General features: G+C 47.6%; 3 annotated features.

Moving 5' to 3' along the window:
- Positions 624 to 1,124: an enhancer, noted in NCBI's record as "H3K4me1 hESC enhancer chr21:37978989-37979489 (GRCh37/hg19 assembly coordinates)". NCBI's record gives its function as "activates a minimal SCP1, AML or CMV promoter by ChIP-STARR-seq in naive H9 embryonic stem cells {active_cell/tissue: H9 hESC(naive)}" and the evidence as "EXISTENCE:reporter gene assay evidence [ECO:0000049][PMID:30033119]".
- Positions 6,066 to 6,566: an enhancer, noted in NCBI's record as "H3K4me1 hESC enhancer chr21:37973547-37974047 (GRCh37/hg19 assembly coordinates)". NCBI's record gives its function as "activates a minimal SCP1, AML or CMV promoter by ChIP-STARR-seq in primed H9 embryonic stem cells {active_cell/tissue: H9 hESC(primed)}" and the evidence as "EXISTENCE:reporter gene assay evidence [ECO:0000049][PMID:30033119]".
- Positions 6,567 to 7,067: an enhancer, noted in NCBI's record as "H3K4me1 hESC enhancer chr21:37973046-37973546 (GRCh37/hg19 assembly coordinates)". NCBI's record gives its function as "activates a minimal SCP1, AML or CMV promoter by ChIP-STARR-seq in primed H9 embryonic stem cells {active_cell/tissue: H9 hESC(primed)}" and the evidence as "EXISTENCE:reporter gene assay evidence [ECO:0000049][PMID:30033119]".

The following is a 12,881-nucleotide window of genomic DNA, read 5'->3' as shown; positions in this document are numbered from 1 at the left end:
TACCTTCTACAAGACACTTTATAATACATTCAGGGCACAGTTCTCAACCTTGGCATTATTGACATTTGGGGCTGGATCACTTTTTCTTGTGAGCGGTTGTCCTGTGCATTGTCGGATGTTTATCCCTGGCTTCTCCCCACTAAATTCTAGGAGCACTCCTCCCTCCCATTGTGTAATTAAAAATGTTTCCAGATGTTGCCAAATGTCCCCTGGAGGGAAAATTGCCCCTGGTTAAGTACCAGAGCTTTCAGGGAACATAGATGTTATTACATGGAAGTTATGAGGTTCATTGAAGCTCACTGGCTCACATACCAGAATGGAGACACTCATTTGGGAGGGGTTGCCATTAGTGAGTGAGATGGCCAGGACCTCCAATCAGTTCAATGTTTTGGTGAATGTAGGAGAAAGGTGGAGAAAAGGAAAGGTGAGTCCGTAAGTTCTCCAGCATTTGATGAAAATGTTCCCATGAGTCCCAACCCATTGAGTTTGCATTTGATATTCAAAACGCTTTTTTGAGCCAATAGTGCATGCAATTGTTGGGACAGAGGATTCGGACACCAGGAGTGGTGTGGTTGCAGCTGGCTGAAGCCTCTCCATAGACCAGCCTGGGAGCCACACAAGAGTCAAAGTGTCAACAGTATTGGAACCACATGGGCAGGCTGGGAGGGGACAGTGGAGGCCTGGCCTGGCCGTTCAAAGGGAATGGATTCCTGTGGGGTAGATGGCACTGGAATGCACCTGCTGCCTGATAATGTCATCAACCAACAGATGCACACTGAGCTCTGCCCCAGTGTGACGTGACGTTGAGTGCTGGGGCCTAAAGTCCCCCCGGGAGTCCTCAGGCTGGCTGGGGAGTCAGGTACAGAAATGAGGGGAAGCCGATGCCCTCCAGACACAATTAGGGGGTGCAGACCATTGGTGCTGGAGGAGCTCGGAGGGGAGGAGGCAGGCGTGGGTCCCCTGGAGGCCAGAGAGAGCCCTGCATCCACAGGGGGACACCGGCCCCGGCAAAGATCAGGCCAAGGGCTGAGGTGCTCGTTCTCAGGGTCACCTTCAGAAATAATGAGCAGGGAAGCAGTTTGGGGGAATAGCGTGAGGTGAGGTGGGAGGTGTGGAGCTAGGGGAGTGTGGAGGATCCCTGGATGCTGGGCCCAGGAGGCCAGGGCCCTGAGATGGACGTCAGAAAGGGAACCACGGATGGGTTTCTGCACAGAATCAAGGGTTTGCAAACACCAGTGACCATGTAAGTGGGATCTGGGCCCAGATGGTGGGGACTCCCCCGGGGCCAGGCCCACGCTCAGCTTACATCAGCCCAGGCCTCTCCCTGAGGAGCCAGCCCTTGTCCCTCCCACGGCCCTGCACGCTCCCTGGTCGTGCTCTCTGAATTTTAATGGCAGTAAACAAAACACTCCTCCACAAAGGCCACAGTGTGCGGAAAGCGAGGGCCTGCATGTTTCTCAGCGCCACACCCCATTTATCCCACGCGAATGCAGCCCCCTGAGAAACACACCCCCCACCCCAAAGTGGGGAGTTGGGCAATTACCAAGAGAGTGTGATCGATGGAGACAAGCAATTGGGAATAATTAGGTCAAAAGCCCCTCTGTTTCCTTGAGCTCCAGTTTGCTGAGGTTGAGTTTCTGCCGGAATCACCTGGACCTCTGCAAGCCCCGAAGCACTGGGGAGTGAGAGGAGGGTGAAGGGATCCCCCCAGACCCACCCAGCCCCTCCTGGCTCTGGGGAGGCGAAGGAGCCTCTCAGGGCATCCTGCAGGGTGGAGGGTTGGGCTGTGGCCCTGAGGGCAGGCTCCCGCATCCAGGCATCATCTTGGAGGCACATTTGGAAGCTGCCCCCGGGGTTTCCCCAGGACCCTCATGTGCTAAGGTGACGGGAGCCAGGCTGGGTCCCTCCTCTGACCCTTGAAGTTATCCCAAGATAAGTGGTAACATGTGCCTCTTGCCCACATTGGCACAGAGCCCCAGGGAGCAACTCTGTGAGTTTTCCTACAGCCCCTCGCTCTGGGGGCTTAGAATGAGGACAGACCCCCAGGATCCCTGTTTCCTCTGGCGCCCAGCACCGGACATTGGATCAGGAATGCATGGAACCTGACTCCCCGGGACAAGAGGCTTCTTTCTACAGAAGACTCGGGTCCCTCCTACTCCCCTCCACCAGCTCTCCAGCTGCAATCTAAGCAGCCTGGCTCCAGCTGGGGCCACTGACCTCACAGTAGCTCAGCCTCCATCTCCGGAACTGGTTGACTCCTTCACAACACTATCTGGGGACTCCCTGCTTGGGGATGGGGGCCATGGCGTCTTGGGGTTGTAACGCTGCTGTCCTGTGAGCAAATGGGCCATCTCATGACACTCTTCTCCTTCAGAACACAGTTTTTAGGGTCCATGAGCCAGATGATATCCTAAAGGTTGGGACAGGGAGACAATTGGGACACAGTCCTATTCCTCCCTGAGCACAGAGAGAGCAGGAGACAGACAGGCAGACTGACAAGAAGCAACGCATGTCAGTGAGTGCTTCATGACGCAACAGGGCATCGGCCACCTAAGAAGTCAGAGCTGCTGGCACCCCAAGAAGGCAAACTGCGGCTGCATCAGGTTGGGGGGGGGCACTTCTGCCCAGAGAAGTGGGGGCATTCTCAGAGGAGGGGCCCAGACTTGCCTGTGGGTGGGAAAAGGACGGTGAGTGACTGAAACGTGTGGGGTGGGTGGAAGGCGAGGGACAAGGAGAAGGGACCGTTTTCCATCTTCAAGTCCCAGCACTCAAAATTCAAATTTCCAAGACAGAGACCCTGTGGTCCAGCTTGGTTCCCTCCTGGTCCAGCAATTGGTGTAGTAACAGGGCTTCCATCAGTAGCCAAATCCATGTGCAAAGGCAGAGAGGTGGGTACCTGGGAGAAACAGTCCAGGGTGCTGTTGGCAAAGGGAGGGGGCACTTGGCCTGCCAGTCATCGGTGTGAAGGGGAGAGGGAGGGAATTTGTCCCCCCATGCTGGGATGGCCTGGGAGTGAGAGGAGGTGGAGTGAGCTGGCCAGCCATTGACCACACAGGCCCTGGACGGACTAGTGAGGCAGGAGACCTTGGAGGGGCCTTTGAGGGCCTGCTCCTTCCTTCGGGGGCTTCCCTCCCAGGGCAGCCATCGCCGTTTGCATTGATTGCTAATGAACTACTTTACGAAGGGAGCTCTAATACATGTGCTCATGTGTTCACCACCCTGCAAAGTAGGTGAACTTTCCTCACTTTACGTGCGAGCAAGCTGAGGCTCGGACTCCCTGAGTTCCTCGCCTGAGTCTGCACCACCAGGATGCGGTGGAGTCCAGACTCTGAACTGGGTTCTGAGACTCCCCGTCACTCACCTGTCACTGCCGATACCTCTAGTTGCTGTGGCACTCTCCCAGCCTCTAGGTGTGCTATGTAAGCCATTTAAAAAATAAGTCAGAAGACTCAAATGTTTCCGAAAATATCGTGAGAGCCCCCACAGTAACTGGAGGTCCAGGCAGTGTCTCAGAACCAGGGTGAGCACCCACCTCATCTGCTGGGGGCACCAGTCCCCACTATGGCACCCCTCAAGGGCTGTGGGGATTGTCAGGACTGGAGCCTCCTTGGCCAGGGCAAAGGAGGAAGGAAGATCAAGTACACGGCCAAGTGACCCAGCTGAGTGGGAAATTTTGCCAAGTTCTAAGAGATGAATAAATGACATAATTTTATTCTATTTTAAAATTAAATTTAAAAAAAGTTTGCCCAGGTACTGTGTTCAAAAATCAAAAGAGGTCCCCTGGGTGTGGTGGCTCATGCCTGTAATCTCAGCACTGTGGGGGGCTGAGATGGACAGATCGCTCGAGCCCAGGAGTTTGAGACCAGCTTGGGCAACAAGAAGAAACATGAAGAAACCCTGTCTCTACCCAAACAAAAAAAATGTGTGTTTGTGTGTGTGTGTATCTATATGCATATATATGTATAGATAGATATGTGAGTATATATATACATATTTATATGTATATACATGTATATATACATATTTATATGTATATACATACATAAATTTATATATACACATTATATATATTGTATCTACACACACACACACACACACACACAAATTAGCCGGGTGTGGGGTGGTGACGCATGCCTGTAGTCCCAGCTACTTGGGAGGCTGAGGTGGAAGGATCACTTGAGCCCAAGAGGTCAAGGCTGCAGTGAGCCAAGATTGCAACACTGCACCAGGCTAGGTGACAGAGGAAGACCCTGTCTCAAAAAAAAAAAATCCAAAAGAACACAAGATGGGGACGCAAACTCTTGCCTCGCTGCAGCCTCAGCTTCCTGTCCTCTCCCCACTCTCCTCCCCTCCTTTCTTATGTGTCTTTAGAAAGCATCCTTCACAGACTTTTCATGTTTGCCTTCAAGACTCAGGAAACCCAGCCTGTTTAGTGAATGTTTCATCTGCTCTTCACCTCAGAGAAAGGTCTCTCTCAGCCACTTGCAGGCACTTTCAAATCCTGTTCTGAAGAAACCTTGCTGTGAGGGAAAAACAACTTCATACCTTGTTCATTGGATAAACTAAAGGGAGACCTAAACTCATTCTTCAAAACATAGTCTATCATCTAGGAAGAGGCCTCATGTTTCTTTGACTCCAAAACACTGCTGTTTTATCTAACAGCCAGAAAATACATTAATAAAACCTGAGGGGCCCTTTTCGTTTGGAATCGCCTGTGTCATAACAAGATTCTGGATGCCCAGTTTCCTTCCCATCTGAAAGGGGATGGAGGCTTTGGTGAGTGGCGTTAGCCATGGAATGGTCCTATTCGTGCCACTGAAGAATGTACCAGAATGCAGGAGGACACCAGAGTCATCGGGCAAGAGATGGTTCTTCTCCGTGAAGCAAAATGAACAGAACTTCCCCTCTCTTCATCTTCAGAGGGTTGGCATTTGCCCAGCAAAAGGTAGTCATAAAATATTCTCAGAACCGGTGCCAGTTGCTGAGAGCTGTGTAAACGGCACATCAGAAAGGAACAAATTTCCAGGGAGGGATTCTGGAGTTTTAATGAGCAGCAGTGTGCTCCAAGGCACTAGAAGGGAATGGAGGCCAGCCAGTCTCACCCGCATTTAAGACTTGGAGGCCACAGTGACCTGCAAGTCAGAAAAGCCAGCTGCCTTCCTTGGGGCACGGGCTTTAGGAAGCGCCCAGGCAAGCTGATGGGGAAAATGGAAGGGGAGCCCTGTGGCTTTTCAGGGACCCCCAATATAAAGCTTTTTTATTATTATTTTTTGAGACAGAATCTCTCTCTGTTGCCCAGGCCGGAGTGCACTGGTGCGATCGTGGCTCACTGCAACCTCTGCCTCCCAGGTTCAAACAATTCTCCTGCCTCAGCCTCCCAAGTAGCTGAGACTACAGGCGTGTGCCACCATGCCTGGCTAATTTTTGTATTTTCAGTAGAGAAGGGGTTTCACCGTGTTGGTCAGGCTGGTCTTGAACTCCTGACCTCATGATCCACCCGCCTCCGCCTCCCAAAGTGCTGGGATTACAGGCGTGAGATTCTTTAGCCTCACAGGCTAGGAGCTGGCAAACCATGACCAGTAGGTCAAATCCAGCCCACCACCCATTTGCAAAAAGTTTTATTTTTTGATTTGTTTTTTAGAGATGATTATTTGTATTTATTTGTTTATTTTTAATTTTTGTAGAGATAGGGTCTCTCTTGACCAGGCTGGTCTTGAATTCCTGGCCTCAAGCAATCCTCCTGCCTTCGGCTCGCAAAATGCTGAGATTATAGGGATGAGCCACCTCACCTGGTTTAAAGATGATTATTGACAATATTTGGAAGGACATCTCTCTAGGCATGTCTATGCATTTCATATTGAGCCAAACAGTTGTAAGCACATACTTTTTACATATCACATGTATGTATTTACTATACGTGCTATTCTGAAACTTGCTTTTTATCACTCCTTACCATGTTCTGAACATATAAAATATTTTGTTGATCCTAAATTTTTAAAAAATTTCAATACCTTTTGGGGTACGAGTGTTTTTTTTTTTTGTTACATGGATGGATTATATCATAAGTACGTTATAATATAATTTGCTCTATTATAACAAAATGGTGATTCTGAGATTTTGGGGTACCCATCACCTGAGTAGTGTACATTGTACCTAATGTGTAGTTTTTTATCCCTGGCCTCCCTCCCCTTCCTGGGTCTCTAAAGTCCATGACATCAGTCTGTATTGCATGGAGTTGTGTTGGAATCTAGCCACACCCTTTCATTTATGTGTTCTCCCGGCCCCTTTTGCAATCCAATTGGGGTTGAGCAGTGGCAACAGAGATCAAATGGCTCTCAAAGCCGAAAAGATTTCCCATCTGGCCCTTTCTAGAAAAAGTTTGCCAACCCCTGTTGTAGGCAATAAAGAAGGACATCTCCCATAATGGAAAGACATGAGGGATTCTCCCAGCCTTCCAAGTTACCTGGGAGCACAAGACAGAGAGAAACAGGACAGGTCATTTCCCACGGAAACAGAGAGAAGGGAAGCTGAAAACAGACCTCCCGGGACTCGCCAGCCGTGCTGTTGGGAGGAAGCCCCCGCCCTGAGGCCAGCGCTGGGGGCTGACTTTGCCTGGACATGCAGGGATGGAGCTGGGAATTATCAGAAGAAGGGCATCAGGGCTGCCAGGGGACACCCTGGCATCAGAGAGTCCTCAGAGTTATGTCTCCTGCAAGAAATTTTACAGATGTGTGGCCCTTTAATCCCAGCCACCTGGGGTTCCTCAGCAAACGGGACTCTTGGGTGCCACCTCCCAGGCAAAGTCAGTCATAAACTATCCCAAAACAAGCTTCTCTTCACCCTACAGTGGACTTCAGGTCTGTGGGCCAGGTCTGTGGGCATCTCTGCGGGTTTTACCCTCTGCCTGGGAAAGGAGGAGATAACCCTGTAGGCAAAGAGAGAGTTGCAGGGGTAGGCCAGCCCTCCTTAGGGAGGTGGGAGACACGTTGCTGAGTCGGTGACCCTCCAAGGCTGGGCCCAGAAACCATGAATAGCACCTTAAGCTGGTGTTAAACTCCAGTCTCATGCTCTCCTACTTGGGTGGTTACAGACCTACTTTAATTTCTTTTTCTTTTAGAAGATTACCTATATATTTATGTAATTAACTCTTATGCATAGCATTATTACTATGTGCCATGCACCATTCTGAATGTTACAAAATCCTTTAGTCCTACCAACAAGCCTATGAGGTAGGTGCTACTAATAGCCTTACTCTGTGGAACAAAGGAAGCACAGAGGGGTTAAACAACTTGCCCAAGATCACCAGAGCTGGTAAGCAGCAGAGCTAAGATTTCAACTCAGGTGTTCTGGCCTCAGAGTCTGTGTTCTCATGCTGCCTACCTGATGCTTTTAAAAAAATAAAAATAGACCGGGTGCAGTGGTTCACACCTGTAATTCCACACTCTGAGAGGCTGAGGCAGGAGGATTGCTTGAGCCCAGGAGTTCAAGACTAGCCTGGGCAACACAGCAAAACCCTGTCTCTATAAGAAATTTAAAAATTAGCCACGTGTAGTGGCACACACCTGTAGTCCTAGCTACTTGGAAGGCTGAGGTGGGAGGATCGCTTAAGCTTCGGAGGCAGAGGCTGCAGTGAGCTGAGATTGCACCATTGTGCTCCAGCCTGGGTAACAGAGTGAGACCCTGTCTCAAATAAATGAACAAAAATACAAATAGTATGTTCACAAGGCAAAAAATAAATCCAATCTCACAAATGTTTAACTGGGATTTTCTTTTTATTGGGCTCGTGAGTTGGCTCCACAATTTCCAGTATCTTGTCTTATCCATTCTTTTGATTTTATCTTCATTTGGCTGAAGAGTATCCTTGAGTAACTTTTTCAGAGATACTCTATGAAAGGAAAAGTTTCTGACCACTTGAATGCCTGGAGATGTTTTAACAGTCAATTCTTATTTGTGGATTCCATATTTGCAAATTCTCCTACTCACTAAAACTTATTTGTAACCTGAAAATCAGTGTCTGCACACTTTTGAGGTCATTCTTGGACATGCAGAGAGAGGTGCAACATCTGAGCTGCCCAACATGAATGTTCCCAGTTGACATTGAACAAGGTGATGCTCTCCCTTCTTGTTTAGCTCTCATACTATAAATAGTCCTTCCTGTGGTCTGTTTACTGCCATGTTGCTCACATTTTTGTTTTTTATTGATGATTCTGCTGTTTAAAATGGCCTCCAATTGTAGTGCTATCTAGTGTTCCTAATCACAAGAAGGCAGTCATATGCCTTATGGAGAAAATATGTGTGTCAGAAAAGCTCTGTGTAAGTATGAATTACAGTGCTGTTGGTCACCAGCTCAGTGTTAAAGAGTCAACAGTATTTATTAAATAAGGTGTCTTCAAACAGAAGCACACATAAAGCAGGGTTATGTGTTGACAGGTTGACATAGGCTCCCGGGAGCCTAACCCTGTGTTTCCTCTAAGAGGAGTGGTTCAGGATTTGGCTATGTTTGTGGCAACTTTATAGAATGTACCTACCATGAGTAGCAAGAATTGGCTGCATTTTGTGCTCATAATTGGTAGCTTTGCTAACTATCAAATTTCACCTTGAAAAGTATTTCCCCTCCAAACTCAGAAGGTGTCATTTCATTGTCTTTTAGCACCCACTATTGCTGATGCCAGCCTAACCCTCATTCTTAGGCAGGAGGCTTGCAATCTCTCTCTGGACATTTTAAAGATCTTTTTATTCCTGGTGTTCTGAAGTTTCATGGAGATCTGCCTAAGGGTGTGTTTCCTCCTTTCTACTGCGAGACCCATCTGAAGACTCATGTCCTTTTTATAGCTCTAGGAATGTTTTTCTATTATTTCTTTGAAATCATCCCTCTTCCCCTCAATTTTCTCTGGCTGTGTCTCTTAGGACTCATGTTAACCACCCCTTGGACCTGCTGGATTGATCGGCTACATCTCTAGTTTTTTCTTTGACCCTTCAAAATCTTTGAGCTGTTTTCTTTTTCCCGCTGGCATATTTCTTTGACTTAAATTTTCGGGGTTTTTTCTGATTTCTTTTGGCAATGACACTTTTACTGCTTAAGAGTTCTTTCTGGCTGGGCACAGTGACTCACGCCTGTAATCCCAGCACTTTGGGAGGCCAAGGCAGGCAGATCACTTGAGGTCAGAAGTTCGAGACCAGCCTGGCCAACATGGCGAAACCCCGTCTCCACTAAAAAAAAACAAAAATTAGCCGGGAGTGGTGGTGGGCACCTGTAATCTCGTCTACTCTGGAGACAGAGGAAGGAAAATCGCTTGAACCTGGGAGGCGGAGGTTTCAGTGAGCCAAGATTGCACCACTACACTCCAGCTTGGGCAACAAAGCAAGACTCTGTCTCAAAAAAAAAAAAAGTTCTTTCTTATTCTTCAATTGGCTTTTATGGCATCTTTTTCTGGTTCAGAATGCGACATTTTCTCAAATCTTTCAGCCTGCTGTTGAGAGTGTTTCCCATCCCCTTCTGCATTCTTTCTGTTTCCTCCATGAGAAATAGTACTGTCTGTTTAGCTTTGTTTTTCACTCCATACGTTTTGCGACCTTATTTGTCTATCGTACCTAAGAATGAGAGGGTAGGCTGGGCACAGTGGCTCATGCCTGTAATCCCAGCACTTTGGGAGGCCGAGGCGGGCAGATCATGAGGTCAGGAGATTGAGACCATCCTGGCTAATACAGTGAAACCCCGTCTCTACTAAAAAATACAACAAATTAGCCAGGCATGGTGGCCGGCGCCTGTAGTCCCAGCTACTTGGGAGGCTGAGGCAGGAGAATGGCGTGAACCTGGGAGGCGGAGGTTGCAGTGAGCCGAGATCATGCCACTGCACTCCAGCCTGGGTGACAGAGTGAGACTCCGTCTCAAAAAAAAAAAAAAAAAAACATTGACAGGGTAGGATGACTTTTCTAGGATCTCATTGGCACAGGTGTAGTTGCACATCTAAATCTGTCTTATGGTTAGGCCTCTTCCATGAGCAGGAAAGCCGATGGGACCTCCACATACAGGAGTGTGGCTGGCCAGCTTCCCATGAGAGCAGTGGACAGGGACCTGAGTGTTTTGACTTGGTGGCCATCAAATGCCACACAGGGGTGGATTTTGTTAGGTGCAATCACCTACCATGGGTTTCACTCAGGCAGTTTCTTCAGTTTTTCTAAAGAAGAATCATCTGCTCTTCTTCCTCATCCTCTCTTTCCTCCTCTTCTTCCTCCTCCTCTTCCTCTTTCCTTTACTTCTGATTCTCAGTTGCAAATGATCTGAACCAAAGGGCTTTGTTCTCTATAACTTTTGAAAGAGTCTGGGATGATTCAGTGGTGGAGTGGAAGTGATGGCATTTTAACATTTGGGCATGCCAGTTACCAGCATCTCCCATGATGATGAAAGTCCAATATGGTCACTTTGGTGGGACACCTCACCATCACAAAGAAAGAAACTCAGGCACCTGACGCACGTGGCAGCAGTGGGGTGCATGGAGTCACCCATGTGATCATAGAAGTGGCAAAGCAGGACTACAGGTGCTCATGGAATATGGCTGTGGTTGGAGAAAGCTACTGTCATTAAGGCCGACCCCAGGAAGAATCACTACAGCAAATGTCTGGCCCTGGAAAAGGTGAGCTGACAGGTGCTATCAAAAAGCACCTTGTTCAGAAAAAAAAATACTAAAAAATCTTGAAATTTCGGACTAGGAGGGACTTAGAGACCATCTAGTCCAACAGTGTCACTCAGAATAAACTGAGCCCAGAGAGGTGAAGCCATCACCTGTGGTATCCGCGTGCCCACCCTCCACCCCCGCTGCCTGCCACCGCCCTCCAGCTCTTTGAGTTGGTGGATGGATGGATTGGTGCTTTCATAGTTTCTTTGTTAGAATTCCACTGCCTAAAGGGTAGCACCTTGAACTGTTTTCAGCCACGGATTGCTGCAAATTACTTAAATTAATGCTTTTCTTTATCTTGCCTCCCCTGCCCTTAAGAGAATGAGACATGAGATAGATATGTTTGTTCAAGAGAAAGGAGGAAGCATGTATGAGACCATTCCATCCAAGTAAAGTCTTTACATGACCTCATCTGTATGCACATTTATAAGGGCATCCCTTACCACAGCCACCTGTGAACTGGAATATTCATCCTACTTCTTAGACTATAGCAGCTTCTTAGACTATACTCAGAGACATGAAGTGATGTGTCTGCCTGAAAGTTGGGGCTACCTGACCCCAAACCCCATCTCTCAACCACTATGTACTCTACCCAAACAGGACACAAGACGGAAAACACAAATACTAAAGGACAAGGATCACCTGATCCTTCTGGATGAAGACTCTCTTACCAAGGTTGATCCCAAGGTCATCTGATACATACGGGGTGGGAGAGTGGGATTTGCAGTAAGACTTGTTTGGTTAGTTGGGTTGTTTAGATACAATGATGTCATGGCATCCTTGAGGTGCAGCAGGTGGACAGGCAGACAGGTGCCTGGTGCATGATGAGGAAGAATCTGTGTGTGATGGGGGTGGGGAGGGGGGTTGTGGAAACAGCCCCAAGGAAAGCTCTAGATTTGAAGGTAAAGAGACAGGAGGCACAGAATTAGATTTCAAACTCACAGAATTAGATTTTTGAGAGGCAGAAGAAATCCAGAACCTGGAGGAAACTGCCTTCTGGAATGCTGCAGTTGGCACTAGAAGCTTCAATGATAGGAAATGAAGCACAGGACCAGGTTGCAAAATGTTGATACTCTTTCAATTGTGATCTTCATATTTTTTATGTAACAACACATTTTAGAAAAGATGTTTTTCAACCTGAATTAGTTATTAACTGTGTGTGAACACTAGTAACAGCAATGTAACTGTTACTAGTAGCCTAAATGAATTAGGTGCTTCTTTGCACATGTGAAAGAAGCTAGGAGGGAGGCAGTGCAGGGCTTGTATGGTAGCTCCATCTAGGATTTAGGTTTCTCAGTTTTTCTGCTTGGCTATCCTTATTAGCTTCTCTCCTCAAGGTGGGCTTGTTGTCCCAAAATGGCTGCTGGCACTCCAGCTAGCACATCTACATTCCAGATATGGAGCCAGCAAAGGGCAAAAGGCTTTATTTGAAGAGTTCTGTTTAGATGTTATTGGTTTCTTTCATATGCAAGAGAGGGAGGGAAATGCAGTCTTTTAGTTTGAGCACATTGCAGCCTATACAGAATCCAGTTGTATTAGTAAGGAAAGAAGAAGATAGATTGAGAAGCTAGCTAGAAGCCCCAGATCAGGCCAGCTGGAGGCGGTGAATGCCATGGATGCTATTCTGCTGGTTTGGGTTGAGTGAACTCTTTGATAATTGATTTAATATATTCTGTATTTTCTTCTTTATTAAGCAGTTGGAACCAAACTAAGACACTCAGGATAACGTTTTTGTAGATTTAACATTTCACTACTGACATAGCAGAAAGCTGTGCAACATTGAATGTTTCATGAAAGAGATTTAGATCCTTCAACAAAAGCCCAGCAAAAATTAAAGGCAATTAAAAAATGTATCTACCCTTGGCAGGGCGCGATGGCTCACGCCTGTAATCCCAGGACTTCGGGAGGCTGAGGCGGGCGGATCATGAGGTCAGGAGATCGAGACCATCCTGGCTAACACAGTGAAACCCTGTCTCTACTAAAAATACAAAAAAAAAAAAAAAAAAAAAAAAAATTAGCTGGGCATGATGGTGCATGCCTGTAGTCCCAGCTACTCAGGAGGCTGAGGCAGGAGAATCGCTTGAATCTGGGAGGCGGAGGTTGCAGTGAGCCGAGATTGCACCACTGCACTCCAGCCTGGGTGACAGAGCAAGACTCCGTCTCAAAAAAAAGTATCTATCCTTGCAGACCTCCATGTTGCCACTA

The sequence above is a fragment of the Homo sapiens genome, chromosome 21 (genome assembly GCF_000001405.40).
Source record: "Homo sapiens chromosome 21, GRCh38.p14 Primary Assembly".
Lineage (NCBI taxonomy): Eukaryota > Metazoa > Chordata > Mammalia > Primates > Hominidae > Homo > Homo sapiens.
This window is presented reverse-complemented; position numbering and strand designations above follow the sequence as displayed.